The sequence below is a fragment of the Homo sapiens genome, chromosome 3, assembly GCF_000001405.40.
Source record: "Homo sapiens chromosome 3, GRCh38.p14 Primary Assembly".
Classification (NCBI taxonomy): Eukaryota; Metazoa; Chordata; class Mammalia; order Primates; family Hominidae; genus Homo; species Homo sapiens.
In genome coordinates, this window is record NC_000003.12 from 112,422,752 (window position 1) to 112,445,234 (window position 22,483).

The following is a 22,483-nucleotide window of genomic DNA, read 5'->3' on the forward strand; positions in this document are numbered from 1 at the left end:
AAGAGGCCGCTTACCGGATTTGAAATTGGTGAGATGTTTCTTGGGCTGGTCGATCTCAGGACCTGAGGTCGTAGGTGGATCTTTCTCACGGAGCAAAGAGCAGGAGGACGGGGGATTGATCTCCCAAGGGAGGTCCCCCGATCCGAGTCACGGCACCAAATTTCATGCGCGTCTGTGTGAAGAGACCACCAAACAGGCTTTGTGTGAGCAACATGGCTGTTTATTTCACCTGGGTGCAGGTGGGCTGAGTCCGAAAAGAGAGTCAGCGAAGGGAGATAGGGGTGGGGCCGTTTTATAGGATTTGGGTAGGTAAAGGAAAATTACAGTCAAAGAGGGTTTGTTCTCTGGTGGGCAGGAGTGGGGAGTCGCAAGGTGCTCAGTGGGGGTGCTTTTTGAGCCAGGATGAGCCAGGGAAAGGACTTTCACAAGGTAATGTCATCACTTAAGGCAAGGACCGGCCATTTACACTTCTTTTGTGGTGGAATGTCATCAGTTAAGGTGGGGCAGGGCATATTCACTTCTTTTGTGATTCTTCAGTTACTTCAGGCCATCTGGGCATATACGTGCAAGTCACAGGGGATGCGATGGCTTGGCTTGGGCTCAGAGGCCTGACAATTCACATATATAGCATTGATGATTCTAAAAGCCTTATTTGTTTATCTTTCACATTGATATGTAATTGTTCTGAAATTTATTTTTGTGAGGAAGAAGTTGATATGTGCTTTTTCCATGTGAATATCCAATGGTCCCATCCATTTCTCACTGCACCGCTATATCATATTTTTCATAAATCAGATGAATCTGCTTCTGAACTCTCTATTCTCTACCATTGGTAATTTTAATCTATATTTGAGCCACACTGTCTTAACTACTAAATATATATAAGAGTATAATTAACTATGGTTTTTAACAGATCTTTATGTTTAGTACAAGTCCTCTAGTTTTTTTTCTTCTTCTTCCTCAGGCTTGCCTTGCCCATTTCTAAACTTTTACATTTTCATATAAATTTCAGATTAATGTTATCCATTTCTGAAAAACAAAAACTCCTGCCAGTATCTGATTGAGATTGATTTAGTAGTTTAAATTAAAACTGTATGACAAAATATTTTGTAACCATTAAAATTATACACACAATGAATTTAGGAAAACTCAAGAAAAACATTTTTAGTAATATTAATAATAGCAACTAATATTATCCTAAGCATCATACATGAATAAATTTATTGAATTGTCATGATAACTATTTCAGAAATGTATTACCCTTACCATTTCCTAGTTGAAGAAATGACAGCTCAGATATATGATTTAGATTATGCAGTGTCACACAGTGAGTGACAGAGCTGAAAAATAAATCCTAGTCTGTACTCATGAAAAAGTCAAACTTTTAGTCACCTAGATTTTTAAAAAGCGTATTGAATGGAATTCTTCCTAAAATAAATTATAAACCTGTTTTGCCTTTTTGCAAACCTAAAGAATACAATCATATATTTTCATTTCCATTTCTGGTCATTATTATGAATATTAGTGATTTGCTTAAACCACAATACAGTGTTATCCTAGGGCTCTATTATCATACCTAGGATTATTTTCTGTTGCATTAAATTGTCTGAAAATAATGCAATCTTTCTTTTTTTAGCTTCTCTTTTGGACTTTTCTAACTTAAGTATGTTAACTTAACTCTTTCCACTTGTTTCTTGCTGTGTGTTTTTAAGTTGATTTAATAAACCATGTAATTCAAGCATTTTAATCTGGTCCATGAGGCTTTCTGGTATTTCTGGTCTGGAATAGCTTTCTTGAAACTGTACTTGAAGGCAGTCATCACATGAAGGTAATTTCCTGCAGAACAGCTAAGTATAGCAAAGAAAATAAATAGAAAGAGTGGAGTCTCTGATGACGCAGTTTGACAGGTGAACCAAGCAATCTACTTGCCAAACAGGATAAAAAAATCTTTCTCTGAGCTGGCATATTACAATATTTAATGAAATATTTGTATCTGATGACAAATGAATAAATTTTAAAATATATTTTATGTTAACCAGATGCCTCAAAACATAACACTTTGCCCAACTTTTGAAATAACTGATAGATTTATCTTGTATTCATGAACTGTTGTACTAATATTTTCCAAATATTCTGGCTTTAGAAAAATTTAATAATAGGCTTCTATTTCAAGATGAAAGACTTGCCATACATGCTTATCTTTCATAATCCCTGAGTTTCCACTGAAATAATAAAATAGCTTAAAGTATTATAAATATGCAACCAAATAAGGAGAAAAGACAAGCACATTAAAAAAAAATGAAAGTTTTTAAAAAGTTATGACAGATAAAAAGTAAATAAAGGAGTAAATGATGTAACAGGATGAAGAAAACGTGGCCTAGAAGAGAGATGGCTCTAGAAGAGAGGAATGCAATGAATTTTGAGGCAGAACTCTGGAGAGGCCCAGAATTCAAACTCTGAAGTTGTCTAAATGAAACTCTGAATCCAGGACAATTGAGCTCATACTACATTCCCCAACTTTTCCAACCACATGTAGAAACATGGACAGTCAGATAACTGTATCCTATGTAAAAACATAAAAATAAAATTAAAATTTTAAAAAATCAAAGTGTTCTTTTACAAAGAAATTGAATGAATTATCTGAGATTACCTAAGGCAGAGTGATCGGACATCAATTTTTCCAGAGCAAAGACCTCAACATGTGGGCACTGGGGGTCTTGAAACATACTTGGCCTGCTCCCTTTTATTTCTGTAATGTGAAGACTATCAGTTAATAAGCCCACCTACCTTTCCAGAGCAGCCAAGTGTCATGCATTACTACCAACTATTTGAGGAAATACGGTAACATGAAAGAAAGATACAGCTAAAAACAAAAAGAAGAAAAGCCTCTAATCACTTAACTTAGGAGAAAGAATGATTAAAAAAAAAGAAAGAAAACTTAAGAACAGACAAAATTCTAGTTAGTTTCTGTAAAGAAACTTGAAGAGTTTTCATTTATATAAAATAAACAGTGGAGGCCATGAAGAAAGACAAAAAACTGTTGGAAATTAAAAGTATGATAAAAACAAAAAGAAATAAAAATAAAAGAAGAATGAATTAAAAGAAAGATAAAACCTAAGAAATATCTGGATAGAAGAAAGAAGAGATTAAAACTGAGCAAAACATGAAAGAAAAAGAAAATTAATTTAGAAGACCCAGTGAGATACCAAGAAATTTCAAAAAAAAAAATTGACAGAAAGAACTTATCAAAGAAAAAAATCATCAAAAAAATTGAGACACTAATTTTGCAGAAGTGAAACACTGAATGCTACTACTGAATGCCAAAAACAATAAATGAATGAAAGCCCATGCAATACCCTCATGGATGTTAGCATACCAGAGAAATGGGTAGAAAATAAAATAAAATGAGATTACCTAGTAATAAGAATAAGACGGTGTCTTAGTTCATTTGTGTTGCTATAAAGGAATACCTGAGGCTGGGCGATTAATAAAGAAAAGAGGGTTACTTGGCTCACAGTTCTGCAGGTTGTACAAGAAGCATGGTATCAGTATCAAGCATGGTATCAGCATCTGCACCTGGTGAGGGCCTCTGAAAGCTTCTCTTTGGGGGAGAAGGAGAAGTAGAGAAGGCATAATATGAGAGAGAGGAAGCAAGAAAGAGGAGGAGGTGCCAGGCTCCTTTCAACAGCCAGTTTTTCCAGAAACTAAGAATAAGAACTCACTCACTTTCACAAGAATGGCACTAAGCCATTCACAAGGGATCCACCTCCATGATCCAAACACCTTCTACCAGGCCCCACCTCCAATGTTGGGGATCAAATTTCAACATGAGACTTGAAGGGGACAAACAAACTATATCCAAATCTTAGCAGAGGGCATCAAATTTCTTAAAGATCCCCAGGATTTGTAAAGCACTCCAAAGTCAGGGTAGGAATGGAGTTAGGAAATAATGCAATTATAGGTGAGGGAAACAAAAATAATAATTAATCAAATTCAGAAATAAATCATAGAAAATTTCCATGGAGTCAATAACAGCAATTCCTAAATTTCTTTACATTAAGTCAAAATATATAATCCATTAATTTTAATTTTTTTTTTTTTTTTTGATACAGAGTCTCACTCTGCTGCCTAGGCTGGAGCGCACCTCCACCTCCTGCATTCACGCCATTCTCCTGCCTCAGCCTCCCGAGTAGCTGGGACTACAGGCGCCCGGCTAATTTTTTGTATTTTGTTTAGTACAGATGGGGTTTCACGGTGTTAGCCAGGATGGTCTCTATCTCCTGACCTCATGATCCACCCACCTCGGCCTCCCAAAGTGCTGGGATTACAGGCGTGAGCCACCACACCCGGCCAAATTTTTTTAAATATATTTTCAATTCTGCTAACTTGGTACCCTATGTCCCCTGACAGATCTTCTAGTTTAGAACAGTTCAGGTTACTACTTTGGTTTAAATGTGAGCCCCAAAATTCAAGTGTTGGAAAGTTAATTCCTAATGCAACACTGTTGAGAGATGGGTCGTTTAAAAAGTGATTAGGTCATGAGGGCTTTGCCCTCGGCGGTGGATTAATATTGCTGAGTGAGCTAGTTATCATGGGAGTGGGCTTTTGATAAAAGGATCAGTTCTGCCCTCTTCCCACTCTCTCATGAATGCTCTCTTGCCTTTCTACCTTCCACCACGTGATAATGCATTAAGAAAGCCGTCACAAGATTTTAGCCCCTCAGTCTTAGACTTGTCAGCCTCCAGAACTATGAGAAATACATTTTTATTCATCGTAAATTGCCTAGCCTTTAGTATTCTGCTAGAGCAGCATGAAACAGACTAAGAAATTGGTACTGAAAAGTGGGGCTGTTTTTACAAAAAAAAGTCTGAAAATGTGGAAGTGGCTTTGGAACTGGGTAATAGGGAGAGGCTGAAATAATTTGGAGAAGCAGGCTAGAAACAGCCTAGATTGCTGTGAGTGGAGTGTTAAGGGCAACTCTGGTGAGGGCTCAGAAGAAGACGAGCACTATAGGGAGAGCCGAAATCTTCTTAGGAATTACATAATTGGACATGATCAGAATGTCGGTAGACCTGTAGACAGCAAAGCCACTCCAATTAGATCTCAGATGAAAGTAAGGAACAAGGTATTGGAAAATGGAGCAAAGACCTTCCTTGTTATACAGTTGCAAAGAAATTGGTGGAATTTATGTCCGTGTTTTAGGACTTTGTGGAAGACAGAACTTAAGGATAATGAACTATGTGATCTTGTGGCCCAGTGGTAGCGCATCTGACTCCCAGAACAATGAACTACGGTACCTGACAGAAGAAATATCTAAGCATTGAAGCATTCAAAGTGCCACATGACTTCTTTTGGCTGCTTACAGTAAAATGAATAAAAAAGAAAAATAGTTTAAAGAAGGAATTTATAATTAAAAGGGAAGCAGAAAGAAAAGATTTGGAAAATTCTCAGCACGGCCATGTACAGAATAAAAAGGTGTGTTCAGGAGAGAATATTAAGGGTTTGGCCAATCGACCATTTGCTAAAGAGATTATTGACAGAAGGAATTCAGGTTCTATTTACCAAGATAATGTGAGAGTGACCCCAAAGGTATTTCAGAGATCTTCTAAGCAAGCTAGAATCTTGAGGACAAGAGAGGCACCAGTAAGACCTTAGCATCTGCTGCCCAGAACAACTTTAGGACTTTGCTCCCCCATTCCCCAGTGCAGTCTCCTCAGCTGCCCCAGTCATGGCTCAAGCTGGCCCAGGTGGAGCTCAGCCTGCCACCCTGGAGGATGCAATATGTGGGTCTTGGCAGCACTCATGTAGTGCTAATTCTGCAGGCTTGCAGAGTACATGAGTTGTGGGGCCCTGGCTGCCCCCATCTAGATTTCAAAGAATGTTGTGGCTGCCTGTAAACCCAGGAAAAACTTGCCAGAGGGGCAAAGCTACTGCAGAGTCCCCACCAGGGTAATGTCTAGTGGATTCATGGGAGTGTGACCACCTCTAAGTCTGTAGATCTGTAGACCTACCAGTATGCAATGTTAGTCTGGGAAAGCTGCAGGCATGAGAGGTGCTGCATGGGCTGAGCCCAGCAAACCTATAGGACCAGGCTGTCTGTGGCTCTGGAATTCAATCCCCACCCAGTGTGTCCTGGAATCTTAAAATTTAATGTGTACTTTTGGGGTCTGGGGCTTGTTTGGGGTCTGTTATTTCTTCTTGGCTATTTCTCCCTTTTGGAATAGAATTGTCTATCTTATGCCTGTTCCACCATTGTACTTTGAAAGCATGTAACTTGTTTTGATTTTACAGGCTCATAGCTGGAGGAAAATTTGTCTGAGGTTTTATTGTGCTTTGATTCTTAAGCGTATGTCATTTGGTGAGACTCTGGACTTTGGACTTTGAATTGGTGCTGGAGCTAGTTAAGACTTTGGGGCTATTGGGATGGAATTAACGTATTTTGTATGTGAAAAGGACATAAATTTGGGGGAATGGTGACAGAATGCTACGGTTTGAATGTGTCTCCTGGCATTCACATATTAGAAACTTAATCCCCAATGCAACAGTGTTGAGAGGTGGGATGTTTAAGAGGTGACTAGGTCATAAGGGCTCTGATGTCATGAGTGGATTAATGCCATTATCTTGAGAATGGATTAGTTCTTATGGGAGTGGATTCCAATAAAAGGATGGGTTCAGCACCCTTGCTGTTCTTTCTTATATGTTCTCTTGTGCTTCTGTCATGTTATAATGCAGCAAGATGTCCTTCAGAAGATGCTGGCCCCTCAATCTTGGACTTCACAGTCTTCAGAACTCAGGAAATAAATTGCTGTTCATTATAAATTACCCAGTCCAGGGGCCAGAAGCAGGAGCTGTAATCCCAGAACTTTGGGAGGCCAAGGCAGGAGAATCACTTGTGTCCAGGAGTTTGAGACCACCCTGGGCAAAATACCAAGACCACCCCCATCTCTACAATTAATCAATCAATAGCCCAGCCTTGGGTATTCAGTTATAACAGCAAAAAATAGACAAAGACTTTTATGCTTTTAATAAATTATGATAATTATAAGTGTCTCAAAACAGAGACAAGAGATATGAGTAGGGGAAAACTACGACACAATTTTTCTCTTTTAAGTTTAATTAATCTGAAAACAGAATGGATTTACTTTCCTAGTATCACTTCCTTATTGTTTCCCTCTTCTATATTTTCTTTTTCCACTCCTTCCTCAACTTTACAAAAGTTTTTCAGAGTCTTTTTATGATTCTCATCCACATTAATTAATTGCCTGCTGGGGAAAAAAGGTAGCATAGTATACGATATAGAATAATTTGTTTCTGCAGCAGTCACGATCTCTTAAGCCTAGCTAGCCTTGGCTCTCTTGTCTGTTGCATGAGAAGCATGAACCAGATGAGCCCAGTTGATCTTCTAGCTTTAACATTCCTTCTCTGGATATTATTCCTAAAAGTTTCAAGGCCCAGAACTTCAGAGGGTGCTATTTGCACTCTCTGAAAGATATTTATCTTCTATTGTATTCTCAGAATAGTAAAGCATGTTTGTTTTCCATGGTTGCCGTGTAGAAACACATTAAAGGAACATTTTTCATAGGCTTCATCCTGAAAAATCATCTCATATGGCTATGTAGAAACACATTAAAGGAACATTTTTAATAGGCTGCATTCTGAAAAATCATCTCATATGGCTATAAACTGGGTTCAATGTTCTTGCAATGCAGTCAATTTCAGTATGGTTGAAGAATTTCTACACATATTTATATGTGCATCATTTTTATCTAAGAAGATGCTCTCCTCCCAGGACATTTTGCAGATCACTAACCTTGTCAAATTGCAGAAAAGAATCACATTCTCTTCTAGCATATATGAAAATCTAAAAAGAAAAAGAAAACCCTTAATTATCAAGGAGCTATATATTTCTACCATTCTCCGGACTTAGCCGTGTTATATCACTTATTAAAAGAGTTGTATAACAATCTTTTTCCTTGACTTTCTTCTAGGGTTCCCAGATAAAATACAAACTTCTGAGTTAAATTCAAATTTCAGAAAAAGAACAGAAAAGTTTATAGTATATTCCAAATTCTACATAGACATATTGATATGGTTTGGCTGTGTCTCCATCCAAATCTCATCTTGAATTTCCACATGTCATAGGAGGGACCCAATGGGAGGTAACTGAATCATGAGGGCAAGTCTTTCCCATGCTGTTCTCATGATAGTGAATAAGTCTCATGAGATTTGATGATTTTATAAAGAGGAGTTCCCCTGCACGAACTCTCTCTTTGCCTGCTGCCACGCATGTAAGATGTGACTTGCTCCTCCTTGCCTTCCACCATGATTGTGAGGCCTCATTAGCCACATAGAACTGGTTATTAAACATATTTTTTTCCCAGCCTTGGGTATGTCTTTATCAGCAGTGTGAAAACAGACTAATACTGTAAATTGCTACCAGTAGAGTGGAGTGATGCTGAAAAGATACCCAAAAATGTGGAAGCAACTTTGGAACTGGATAACAGGCAGGGGTTAGAACAGTTTGGAAGGCTCAGAAGAAGACAGGAAAATGTGAGAAAGTTTGGAGCTCCCTAGAAGCTTGTTGAATGGCTTTCACCAAAATGCTGATAATGATATGGACAATGAAATCCAGGCTGAGGTGGTCTCAGATGGAGATGAGGAACTTGTTGGGAACTGGAGCAAAGGTGACTCTTGTTATGTTTTAGCAAATAGACTGGTGGCATTTTGCCCCTGCCCTATAGATTTGTGGAATTTTCAACTTGAGAGAGATATTTTAGGGCATCTGGCAGAAAAAAATTCTAATCAGCAAAGCATTATAGAGGTGACTTAGGTGCTGTTAAAGGCATTCAGTTTTCTAGGAGAAGCAGATCATAAAAGTTCAGAAAATTTGCAGCCTGACAATGTGATAGAACGTAAAATCCCATTTTCTGATGAGAAATTTAAGCCTGCTGCAGAAATGTGCATAAGTAACGAAGAGTCAAATGTTAATCCTCAAGACAATGGGAAAAATGTCTCCAGGGCATGTCAGAGGTCTTCATGGCAGTTTGTCCCATCACAGGCCTGGAGGCCTAGAAGGAAAAAGTAGTTTCGTGGGCCCAGTCCCAGGGTCCCTGTGCTGTGGAAAGTCTGGGGTCTTTGTGCCCTGTGTCCCAGCTGCTCTATCCGTGGCTGAAAGGGTACAACATAGAGCTTGGACCATGGCTTCAGAGGATACAAGTCCCAAGCCTTGGCGGCTTCCATGTGGTGTTGAGCCTGTGAGTGAACAGAAGTCAAGAACTGAGGTTTGGGAACCTCCACCTAGATTTCAGAAGATGTGTGGATGCACCTGGATGCCCACGCAGAAATTTGCTACAGGGGTGGGGCCCTCAAGGAGAACCTCTGCTAGGGCAGTGCAGAAGGGAAATGTGGGATCAGAACCCCCACACAGAGTCCCTACTGGGACGCCACCTAGCAGAGCTGTGAGAAGATGACACTCTCTTCCAGACCCAAGAATGGTAGACCCACCAACAGCTTGCACCATGCACCTGGAAAAGTGGCAGACATTCAACCCAAGCCTGTGAAGGCAGCCAGAGGGAGGCTGTACCTTGCAAAAAGCTGTACCACAGGGACAGAGCTGCCCAAGACCATGGGAACCCACTTCTTGCATCAGTGTGATTGGATGTGAGACATGGAGTCAAAGGAGAACATTTTGGAGCTTTAAGATTTGACTACCCTGCTGGATTTTGGACTTGCATGGGGCCTGTGGCCTCTTTGTTTTGCCCAATTTCTCCCATTTGAAATGGCTGTATTTACCCAATGCCTGTACCCCCTTTGTGTCTAAGAAGTAACTAACTTGCTTTTGATTTTACAGGTTCATGGGTGGAAGGGACTTGTCTTGGTTGAGACTTTGGACTGTGGACTTTTGAGTTAATGCTGAAATGAGTTTAAGACTTTGGGGGACTGTTGGGAAAGCATAATTGGTTTTGAAAGGTGAGGACGTGAGATTTGGGAGGGGCCGGGTTGGAATTATATGGTTTGGCTGTGTCCCTACCCAAATCTCATCTTGAATTCCCACATGTCATGAGAGGGACCCAGTGGAGGTAACTGAATCATGGAGGAAGTCTTTCCGTGCTGTTCTCACAATAGTGAATAAGTCTCATAAGATCTGATGATTTTATAAAGAGGAATTCCCCTGCACAAACTCTCTCTTTTCCTGCTGCCATCCATGTAAGATGTGACTTACTCCTCCTTGCCTTCTGCCATGATTGTGAAGCCTCTCCAGCCACGTGGAACTGTAAGTCCATTAAACCTATTTTTCTTCCCAGTCACAGGTATGTCTTTATCAGCAGCATGAAACAGACTAATATACATACTAAATATTTATTTATTTAACCTTAAGTTTACTTTTTTATTTTTTATTTTTTGAGACAGATTCTCACTTTGTTGCTTAGGCTGGAGCTAGCGGCATGATCTCAGTTCACTGCAACCTTTGCCTCCCAGGCTCAAGCAATTATCCTGCCTCAGCCTCCTTGAGTAGCTAGGAACTACAGACATACACCAACACACTCGGCTAATTTTTGTATTTGTAGTAGAGACGGGGTTTCACCATGTTAGTCAGACTAGTCTCAAACTCCTGACCTTAAGTGATTCACCCAACTTGGCCTCCCAAAGTGCTGGGATTACAGGCATGAGCCATTGTGCCTGGCCTTAATCTTAAGTTTAAATTTAACTGGGCATCCTGCATTTTTATTTGTTAAATCTGGCAGCCCTACTTTCTTCCCAACAAAATTCTTAAAGAAGAGCTACTATCTTGTTCACTTCTGTGTCCCCACTGTAAGCACAGTATCTTTACAGGCTATTCAATTTTTGCTGAACTAATTAATAAAAAATATGGACTAAACAAATATAATATGTGTAGTGTTTGCAAATATTATTTATAATTTAGTTGATAACATGAAAGTTAATTATTCAGCTGAGCTTAGTTTATGATTAGAACTAAGATTCACTCTAAGTTTATGATTAGAGTGGACTTGGTCATAAGACAATCATAAACCATAAGATGATCCCACACTAATTTTGAGTTTTTAATCATATGTGAGACAAATTACTCTGATGTCTAGTTCAAATACTTTATGAGGCCTTTAACCTCTAATAAACTGTTAAAATTAGGAATGGCTCCAATATACTAATTATACCACTTCTAAAAGAGGGAAAATACATGACTAACATAAGTAGGAGGGTTATGGAAACTCAACTGAACTGAGAATTTTTACTTTCTTTTGTAATATTTTCCCTTGACATCATGTACTAGTAGTCAAGGATATAATTTGGTTAATACACTGATAAAATGAAACCGTTTTCCATGGCAAATTTTAAATTAAAAACATTTCCATTCAGTAGCAAAAAAACATCTTGTAGAGATTTGACCATGAACTTCACATAAGCAAATACTACGTTAAAATCAAAAAAACAAAAAATCTAAAATTGCCTCTATGTATTATATTTTATTTTGTCTGTTCACTGATTTCTTTCTCTTTTCCCTCTTTTTTTAAAATTGATAAAATTTTGTTTTTAATCTTTTATTAAACTTTTGCTATCTGCAGTAGACCAGTGTTTTAAGGAATAGAAAAGCACATATCCATCTTTTTATGGAAGATGGTACACTTAATTTGCTCCCGAAGATCTGTGTCCATCAGCTGCTTTCCAAAACATGTTCTTGTACCAGTCCCCTCTGAGCCTCAGTTTACTCAACTGAAAGATGGAGGTCAGGACTTTTGCCTCAGATGGTGGTTGTAAGGACCAAATAAGAACATGTGTATCAAAATACAACTTTTGAGCATTACAGTAAATTTGTTTCCATGTATTATCAATATGGACATTGTGTTGGGAAGACAAAACATAGGTAGATAGGAAAGTTAAATCACTGGAATTCAAATTGGAAGCTTCCCTTAAAGCATTTATCTTGTAAATGGCCTGATTTCCCATGGCAGAGAATGACTGGTCCACTCAATTACATTTATTTCCAAATCTACAACCACGTTTTGAGGAGCTACTGTGGAAGAAACTAGAAATACTGAGATAAAAGAGTTATAGTTTTTGGCCAGACACAGTGGCTCATGCCTGTAATCCCAGCACTTTGAGAGGCTGAGGCGGGCGGATCACAAGATCAGGAGATCAAGACCATCCTGGCCAATATGGTGAAACCCCATCTCTACTAAAAATACAAAAATTAGCTGGGCGTGGTAGCATGTGCCTGTAGTCCCAGCTACTCAGGAGGCTGAGACAGGAGAACCACTTTAACCCAGGAGGCAGAGGTTGCAGTGAGCCGTGATCACACCACTGCACTCCAGCCTGGGCAAGAGAGTGAGACTCTATCTCAAAAAAAAAAAAAAGAGAGTTCTTGCCAGAAGTGGTAAGATAGATAGATAGATAGATAGATAGATAGATAGATAGATAGATAGATAGATGTGTTTGTATAAGAGTGTGAGTAAGCCATAGCTACACTTGAAAATAAGAATGCACCTTCTCTCTCTCTCTGTCTTTCTTTCTCTCTCTCTCCCTCAGAGGACCAGAACTGGGAAAAATCCTTAAAGGACAAAAGTCATAGGAATCAAATTGATTTTTTAAAAAGCCACAATCCAAAATCTGTACATGATTAAACTGTTAAAAATGTGAGATCTTATACAAAGAAACTTTATACCTGTAGATTGATGAGTAGAAGAGGCAATAAACATGGTGATTAGCAGGAACAGCCAAGCTGACCAACCCCTACCCTATTGACTAGTCATGCAATGGGAGTGATTGCTTACAATATGAGGAAGAGTAGATTAGAGAGAATGGAGAATGGACAATGTGCATGTGACTGTGATTTGTAAAAGAAATGAGGAGCAGCCATGCTCAGAAAAATACACACCGAGGTGCTATCCTGTCAGCATGCTGTACTTCCCACACACTTTCAATAAAATAATGCCCTCGTGGGCTGCACAAACACCTATGACACACAATCAAAAATAAAGTCTTCACTATGGGAATAATGAGATGTTTGAGGGAAGCCAACACATAGAGAAAGAGTAAAGTCAATAAACCCAAGAACCTACAGAGGGAAAAATAGAATTAATAGAGCAACCTGAGCAGAGCTTTTTTTTGCAGGGGGGTGGGGTTGGGGAGGAAGCACAATTAGCATTCTCAGAATAAGTAAAAAAAATACAAATTATTGATTGTGAAAATTAAAAATGTGGTTGTTGAAATGACAACCTTAAGAGATAGTCTAAAAAGTAGAGCAGACCCAACTGAAGGTTGATGTAGTAAGCTAGCAGAGTGAGACAAAGAATTGCCCTAGAATGCATACAAAGAGTCAAAGAGCGGGAACATATGAAATAAAACTTAAAAGACTTTGCAGACTAGACCCAGAATTTCGACAGCCATTTCATGGGAGTTCACAAAAGTAAGAGTAGACCAAACAAGGAGGAGATGATATTTAAAGAAATAATAGAAGAGAATTACCCTGAGCAGAGAAAGACATGAGTCCTGAAACTTAAAATTTCTACTAAAAGCCAAACAAGAAAAAATGTAAACACACTACCTATAGTGTTATTTCAGAACCCACAAAATTATGGGGAGAAATTCTAAGAGCTTTCATATAACAACAATAAAAATTACCTACAAATGAATAAGAATGAATTGACATCAATCTTCTCAGAAACTCTGAAGGCAATAGATAATGAAAAAATATCTTCAAATTTTCCAGAAAGCTACACTAGAATTTAATACTAGAATTCCAATCAAAGTCAAATTAGGAAGATAAAATAAAAATATACATGTAAAAATTTAGAATATTTATCACCAAAACTCTTTCTGTACGAATTTTCTGAAGATTCATACCAGAAAAAAAATTCCTGAAGTGGTTCAAGATGGCTGACTAGCAGCAGCTAGTGTGTGCCACTCTAACAGAGAGGAAACAAAGTAGCAAGTAAATACTGACTCTTTAAGTGGATCATCCAAGAATCCATGTCAGGATCCATCAAGGGAGAGAGAGGACACAAAGAGAACAGAAAATAGTGAAGCTGGGCATCTGCCCACCCAGGACTAGCAGGGAGCCAAGAGAAGCTTCCGAATACAGGGACAGGGTGAGGGAGTAAGAGCTCCCAGGGAATCCACACTTATCACAGGAACCTGTGCAATTCAGGAAATGGGAGAACACCCTTGACCCCCACCCTACCCTGGGCCTCTAGACTGATACAGAAAGTTGCCAGAGTTTTTGCAGAGGTACCACTCAAAACCATGGGGAGCTCCTTAGGCCTTAGACACCTGAACAACCTGGCACCAACAGCCGTAACACCAATAGAGGCCACAGTTGTGGTGTTGGGGAGCAGTCAGATTGCTTCACTCCTACCTGCCAGACAAGGCTTGACGACTCCTTCCACTACAGCAGACCCAGCCCTGCCTGAACTCTGCCAGTGGGCACAGCTCTGTGTCCCCCCAGGAAACACTCAGGTGATGAATTGGGAGATTTCTCTGACCCACACTGCTGCTAGCCAGATGGGACTCACCAGCTTGGGCTTCCAGCACAGCAGCCCCTCTCCTGCCTGAACTCTGCAGGTGGGCAAAGCCCCGTGTTCCCCTAGAAAGCATGCAGATGGTGGTCCATGCCACTCCACCCACCCCCACTGCCTCTAGCCAGACAAGGCTCACTGGCTTTGGCAGTGCCCAAGCAGGAGAGGTGCCCTACTCCCAGAACACTTTGAGGGATGAGATACTCAGGTTCTTGGGCTGACGGGAATGAGTTGTGCCTCCTTCTACAGGGCCGATCCAGGAAGGGTGTGACCTGAATGCCAGCCACAGCCAGTACGTGAGGAAACCCTGCTGCCCAGAGTGCCTAACAAAGGAAATATGAATGCGGTGCCAGTAATCAAAGGGGGCTTCTCCAAGGCCCTGGAGCAGACCTTGTTGGGGGGTCACCTATCTTTCTCACTGCCATCACAGAGTACTACTGTGAATGTGCTGAAATACACAGAGAGCTGTATGGCTAAGAGCCTATCTGCTGGCCAACACCCTGAAGCTCCATCTACTGGTTCACACTCCAAATTACAACACCAAAAATATTTTGCCAGTATACAAAGCCTGTCAGACCCTAGGCAAAAATCCAGCCACAATTAAAGATCCTACACAGAGCCTTGACCCTCTGAAAGCACCCAGAAACAAAGACAGATGATGATGCTCATTTGGCGCCACAGTTAAAGGAAGACCAGCCTTCTCAATGAGAAAGAATAGGCAAAGAATTCTGGCAATTTAAAAAACAGAGTGTCCCCTGACCTCCAAATGAACAGACTATCCCCTCAGCCAGCTAACAACCACATAACAGCATGATGACAGGGTCAAAATCTTACATACCAATTCTAACCCTGAATGTAAATGGTCTAAATGCCCCACTTAAAAAGCATAGAGTGGGCCAGGCGCAGTGGCTCAAGCCTGTAATCTCAGCACTTTGGGAGGCCGAGGCGGGCAGATCACGAGGTCAGGAGATCGAGACCATCCTGATTAACATGGTGAAACCCCATCTCTACTAAAAATACAAAAAAATTAGCCAGGCGTGGTGGCGGGCACCTGTAGTCCCAGCTACTCAGGAGGCTGAGGCAGGAGAATGGCGTGAACCCGGGAGGCGGAGCTTGCAGTGAGTGGAGATCGCGCCACTGGACTCCAGCCTGGGCGACAGAGCGAGACTCCGTCTCAAAAAAAAAAAAAAAAAAGGCATACAGTGACAAGCTGGATAAAAAGACAAGATCTAATTCTCTGCTATCTTTAAGAGGCTCATCTCACATGTAATAACTGACACAGCCTCAAAGTAAAGGGATGGAGAAAGATCTACCATACAAATTAAAAACAAGGAATGGCAGGAGTCACTATTCTTATACTAGATAAACAGATTTTAAGTTAACAACAAGCAGAAAGAACAGAGAAGGATATTACATGATGATAAAGGGATCAATTCAACAAGACCTAACCATCCTAATTATATATGCACCCAACATTAAGGCACTCAGATTCGTAAAACCAAGTTCTTCTTGACATACAAAAAGATTTAGACAGCCACAGAAAAATAGTGGGGACTTTTAACACCCCACTGACAGCATTGGACAGATGATTGAGGCAGAAAACTAACAAACAAATTCTGGACTTAAACTCAACACTTGACCAACTAGACCTATAGACAGCTACAGAATATTCCGCCCAACAGCCACAGAATATACATTCTTCTCATTCACACACAAGACATATTCTGAGATCAAACACACGCTCAGTCATAAAGCAAGTCTCAATAAATTCAAAATCATAGAAATTATACCAAGCACATTCTCAGACTACAATGCAATAAAAATAGAAACCAATACCATGATCTCTCAAAGCTACACAACAACATGTAAATTAAACAACTTGTTCCTGGCTGGGTGCGGTGGCTCACACCTGTAATCCCAGCACTTTGGGAGGCCGAGGCAGTCAGATCACAAGGTCAGGAGATCGAGACCATCCTGGCTAACATGGTGAAACCTGTCTCTACTAAAAATACAAAAAATTAGCTAGGCATGGTGGCACGTGCCTGTAGTCTCAGCTAATTGGGAGGCCAAGACAGGAGAATCGCTTGAACTTGGGAGGCAGAGGTTGCAGTGAGCTGAGATGGCGCCACTCTACTCCAGCCTGGGTGACAGAGCGAGACTCTGTCCCCCCAAAAAAGAAAAAAACAACTTGTTCCTAAATAACTCTTGGGTGAACAACAAAATTAGGGCAGAAATCAAAACAATTCTTTAGAATTAATGAAAACAGAGATACAACTTACTTAAATATTTGAGATACAGCTAAATACAGTGTTAGGAGGAAAGTTTATATCACTGAATGCCTTCATCAAGAAGTTAGAAAGACCTCAAATTAAAGAACATCATACCTAGAGGAACTAGAAAAAAATAGAACAAACCAACCCCAAAGCTATTAGAAGAAAACAAAACAACTAAAAGCAGAGATGAACTGAATGAAATTGAGATGTGAAAGCCCATAGAAAAGTTTAATGAAACCAAGTGTTGGTTTTTTCAAAAAATAAATGGGATTAATAGACCACTAGCTAGACTAACAAAGAAAAAAAAAGAGAAGAGCCAAGTAAGTGCAATAAGAAATGGCAAAGGTGACATTACAACTGACTGCATAGAAAAACAAATGATGCTTAGAGACTATTATGAACACCTCTATGCACACAAATTAGAAAATCTAGAGGAAATGGGTACACTCATGGGAACACACAACCTCACAATATTGAACCAGAAAGAAAGTGAAACATGAACAAACCAATAAGAACCTCTGAAATTGAATCAGTAATAAAAATCCTACTGAGCAAAGAAAGCCCTAGGCCAGACAGATTTACAGCTGAATTCTACCAGATGTACAAAGAAGTGGTACCAATTCTACTGAAACTAGTCCAAAAAATTGAGAAGGAGCTCCTGACCCTAATTCCTTTTCTGAAGCCAACATCATTCCGATACCAAAATCTGGCAGAGATACAATAAAAAAAGAAAACTTTAGACCAATAAACCTAATGAACATAGATTTTTAAAAATGCTCAACAAAATACTAACAAATTGAATCCAGCAGCATATCAAAAAGCTTATTCATCACTATCAAGTAGGCTTTATTCCTGGGATGCAAGGTTGGTTTAACATATGCAAATCAATGAATGTGATTGACCACATAAACAGAATTAAAAGGAAAAAAGCATATGATTATCTCAATAGATGCAGAGAAAGCTTTCGGTAATTCAAACTTCCCTTCATATAAAAACTCTCAACAGACTAGGCATCAAAGGAACGTACCTCAAATTAATAAGAACCATCTATGAAAAACCCACAGCCAACACCATGCTGAACAGGAAAAGCTGGAAGCATTCCACTTGAAAACTGGAGCAAGACAAGGATGCCCTCCTATTCAACAAGTACTGGAAGTCCTAGCCAGAGCAATCAAGAAAGAACAAGAAATAAAAGACATCCAAATAGGAAAATAACAAGTCAATCTATCTCTCTTCACTAATAACATTATTCTATACTTAGGAAACCCTAAAGACTCTGCCAAAAATTTCCTAGAACTGAAAATTTAGCAAGGTTTCAGGATACAAAATCAATGTACAAAAAATCAGTAGCATTTCTATACACCAATAATATTCAGGCTGAGAGCCAAATTGAGAATGCAATCTCATTCACAAAAGCCACAAAGGAAACGAAATACCAAGGAATATAGTTAATCAAGGAGTTGAAAGATTTTTTACAAGGAGAACTATAAAACACTGCTGAAAGAAATTAGAGATGAAAAAAACACATGGGGAAAGTTTCCATGCTCTTAGATTGGAAGAATCAATATTATTAAAATGGCCATTCTGCCCAAAGCCATTTACAGATTCAATGCTATTTCTATCAAATAACCAGTGTCATTCTTCACAGAATTAGAAAAACCTATTATAAAATTCATAGGAAACCAATAAAGAGCCTGAATAGCCAAAGAAATCTTAAGCAAAAAGGGCAAAGCTGAAAGCATCACAACATCAAATTATACTACAAAAGTACAGCAACCAAAAACACCATGGTAGTGGTACAAAAACCGACACGTAGACCAGTGGAACAGAATAGAAAACTCGGAAATAAAGCTGCACACCTACAACAGTCTGATCTTCAACAAGGTAGACAAAAACAAGCAATGGGGAAAGGATTCCCTATTCAATAAATGGTGTTAACTGGCTAGCTATATGCAGAAGAATAATACTGGACCCTTACCTTTCACCATATACAAAATTAACTCAAGATGCATTAAGTGTTGAAATATAAAACCTTAATCTATAAAAATCCTAGAAAAAAATACTAGGAAATACTCTTCTCAATATCAGCCTGGGCAAATAATTTTTGACTAAGTCCTCGAAAGCATTTGCAACAAAACCAAAAATTGACAAGTGGAACCTAATTAAAGAGTTTCTGCAGAGCAAAAGAAGCTATCAACAGAGTAAACAGACAACCTACAAAGTGGGAGAAAATATTCATAAAGTATGCATCTGATAAAGGTCTAATATCCAGAATTTCTAAGGAGCTTAAACAAATCAACAAGCAAAAATAAGCCTCATTAAAAAATTGGCAAAGGACATGAAGAGACACTCCTCAAAGGAAGACATACAAGTGGCCAACAAACATGAAAAACTGTCATCAGCACCAATCATTAGAGAAGTGAAAATTAAAACCATGAGATACCATCTCACACCAGTCAGAATGGCTTTATTAAAGTCAAAAAACAACAGATGTTGGTGGGGCTGCAGAGAAAAGGGAATGCTTATAGACTATTGGTGGGAATGTAAATTAGTTCAGACACTGTGGAAAGCAATTTGGAGATTTCTCAAAGAAGTTAAAACAGAGCTACCATTATACCCAGCAATCCCATTACTGGGTATATACCCAAAGGAAAATGTATCATTATACCAAAAAGACAGAGGTACTTATATGTTCGTCATCATGCTATTCACAATAGCAAATACCTGCAGTCAACCTAGGTCCCCATCAATGGTGGACTGGATAAAGAAAACGTGGTTCATATACACCACAGAACACAGCCATAAAAAAGAATGAAATCATGTACTTTGCGGCAACATAGATAGAGTTGGAGGTCATAATTCAAAGCAAATTAATGCAGGAGCAGAAAACCAAAGACTGCATGTTCATAAGTGGGAGCTAAACATTGAGTATACATGGGATATGAACATGGGAACAATAGACACGATGGACTACTAGAGGGCAGAGAGAGGGAGGGGGGCATGTGTTAAAAAACTACATGTGGGGTACTATCCTTCCTATATTTTAGATATAGTTGGTACATATGCAGGCTTGTTACATGGGTGCAGTATACCCACGTAATATACATTTTTAAATGCATCAATTTTCTTGTTTTGTTTAATTGGAGGATGTAGCTACTAATTAGACATTTTTAGAAAAAATATACATTTAATTACATAGGCCAAAAAGTTAATTTTATAGGACAGAATGAGAATACAAAACATGTATATAAGTTGAGGGGAATAGAAAAAAGGCAAAAAAAAGGGAAAAAACAAAACATGCTAAATATGAAGTATGAGATAAGAAATAAGTTCAGTGAAATAAACATTAAAAATGAATGAGTTATATAGCTTCAAGACAGAAACTCATTTTTTAAAGACCCAGGTATGTACTAGTTCATATTTATGGTGAAAAAAATAAAAACTACAGTTGTCTCTGGGGATATGGAATATTGGCTGGGAGGGGACATAAGGAAATTTATGGAGTGAGAGTAGTGGTTCATATCTCAATATGAGATTCATTTACCCAGGTATATGCATTTTTCTACTCAACAAATGCACCTTTTATTGCATGCAATTTTATATTTAAAAGCTCTAAAAAGTGTTACATTTAGTTAATGTTGACAACGTGAAACTATTTAACTGGAAGAATATTTTTGATGGATAAATTGATATTTACAAATTACCTTGAAATATATCAGTAAAATAAATTGACTGTTGGATGGATAGATATGTGATAATGCAAGTATAGTTTAAGGTTAATGACAATATATGTTGTAAGCAGCAATATTCAGATAGCCAAAAAGTAGAAACAATTCAAATGTCCATCTACTAATGAATGAACAAAATATGGTAGATCCATACAATAGAATATTATTCATTCATTAAGAGGAAAGAAGACTGATATGTGCTACAGCACAGATAAACCTTGAAAACGTTATGTTAAGTGAAAGAAGCTAGACTAAAAGGTCATATCTTGTATGATTTCATTTATATGAAATGTCCAGAATAGGCTAATCTGTAGAGACATAAAGCAGATTGTACTCAAAGCAAATTATTGGCTGAGGCTTTTAGAATCGCCAATAGAGATGTTTTTAATAGTATTGAGGTCTGGGATAGATAGATAACCCTCTTCTTTTCCCTTTTAAGTTGGGCAGTTAGAATTAGACTCATAGCTCGACTGATAAAAATCAAAAGGTCAGCCGGGCGCGGTGGCTCACGCCTGTAATCCCAGCACTTTGGGAGGCGGAGGCGGGCAGATCACGAGGCCAGGAGATAGCGACCATCCTGGCTAACACCGTGAAACCCTGTCTCTACTAAAAATACAAAAAATTAGCCGGGCGTGGTGGCGGGCACCTGTAGTCCCAGCTACTTGGGAGGCTGAGGCAGGAGAATGGCCTGAACCCGGGAGGCGGAGCTGGCAGTGAGCCGAGATCGCGCCACTGCACTCCAGCCTGGGCGACAGAGCGAGACTCTGTCTCAAAAAAAAAAAAAAAAAAAAAAAAATCAAAAGGTTAATTTATTACAATCAAAAGCTAGATTGGAGCATGTAGCTTAAATACAGAGCCACAATGAATTTTCTAATACTTTATGTAGAATTAAACTGAGATCCTCCTATATTGTCTCACAGACATGTGCACACAGAGAGAGAGAAGGGGGCAAGGTCTGCTCCACTACCACCAGGAATAGGAGAGCAGACCAGAATGATCCTGTCACAGATCCAAAGTGAGAGCAAACCCAGAAGTTTGATTCCATGTCACAACTTCACTGGGCAGTTGTATCACTTCTCTTCCCCTTTGGTGAGAAAGGAGTAGAGAATTATAATTATTTTTCACGTAATATTCAATGTTGAATGGAGTGGAGTGAAAATTCATTTTCATTTTCAGGCACATTAATAATCAGAGATTATGTGTTTCTCCCATTGTATATCTGTCCAAAATGATTTCTTATAATCATGTATATGTGCATAGAATTTTGCAGTTTACAAGAGATTTTCTCATAATTATCTTATTTGACCCTCACGGGGTCCTTCTGGGATGTAGCAAGCTGCGGGGCTTAAAACAGGAATCCTGGAAGTAACTATGAACCTTGTAATTCTAAAATCTACATAAAGGTTCCCATGACACTATTGTTATAGGATTTTTTGATTATAATACATGTCTCATTTGCCATAACATTTCAGACCCATTTTACTTTATTTTAGGACACAATGGTCCCTAAATAATGAGAGGTATCAAAAGGCAGAAAATGAAAAATAAGTGAAATTAGATAAGCATAAACAACCAAATGAATCGTTTCCATCCTCAACATTCTCCTTGTCCATTAGCATCACTTACCTTGTTCAAAACCTGAAGAGTCCTCCTTTATTTCTCCCTCTTCCTAGTCCCACAAATCTAGCGGCCAAGTTCTAACGAGTGTACCTACATATCACTCATATATTACCTCCTTTTCAATACCCATCACTGCATCCCCTCTCCCCACACAAAAGTCTGTTAACTGGTTTCCCTAACTCCAGTTCTGCATGTTCCTCGTCCATCATCTATGCTACAGATAAAATGACCTTTCAAAAATATACATCTGATCACCACCCCTTCCCACCCCGGTGGAAGATGCTGTCAATGGGGCAAAACCACAGCTATTTTCAACTCTTTTTTCTTAATG

The 22,483-nt window shown here is 39.0% G+C and overlaps 3 annotated features.

Annotated features, from left to right (window-relative positions):
* Positions 1 to 160: part of a biological region, named in NCBI's record as "3q13.2-q13.31 proximal HERV-H recombination region", that runs on past the window's edge. NCBI's record gives its function as "recombination_partner: LOC108004532".
* Positions 1 to 160: part of a mobile genetic element, noted in NCBI's record as "direction; reverse", that runs on past the window's edge.
* Positions 1 to 853: an enhancer, noted in NCBI's record as "OCT4-NANOG-H3K27ac hESC enhancer chr3:112141599-112142451 (GRCh37/hg19 assembly coordinates)". NCBI's record gives its function as "activates a minimal SCP1, AML or CMV promoter by ChIP-STARR-seq in naive and primed H9 embryonic stem cells {active_cell/tissue: H9 hESC(naive and primed)}" and the evidence as "EXISTENCE:reporter gene assay evidence [ECO:0000049][PMID:30033119]".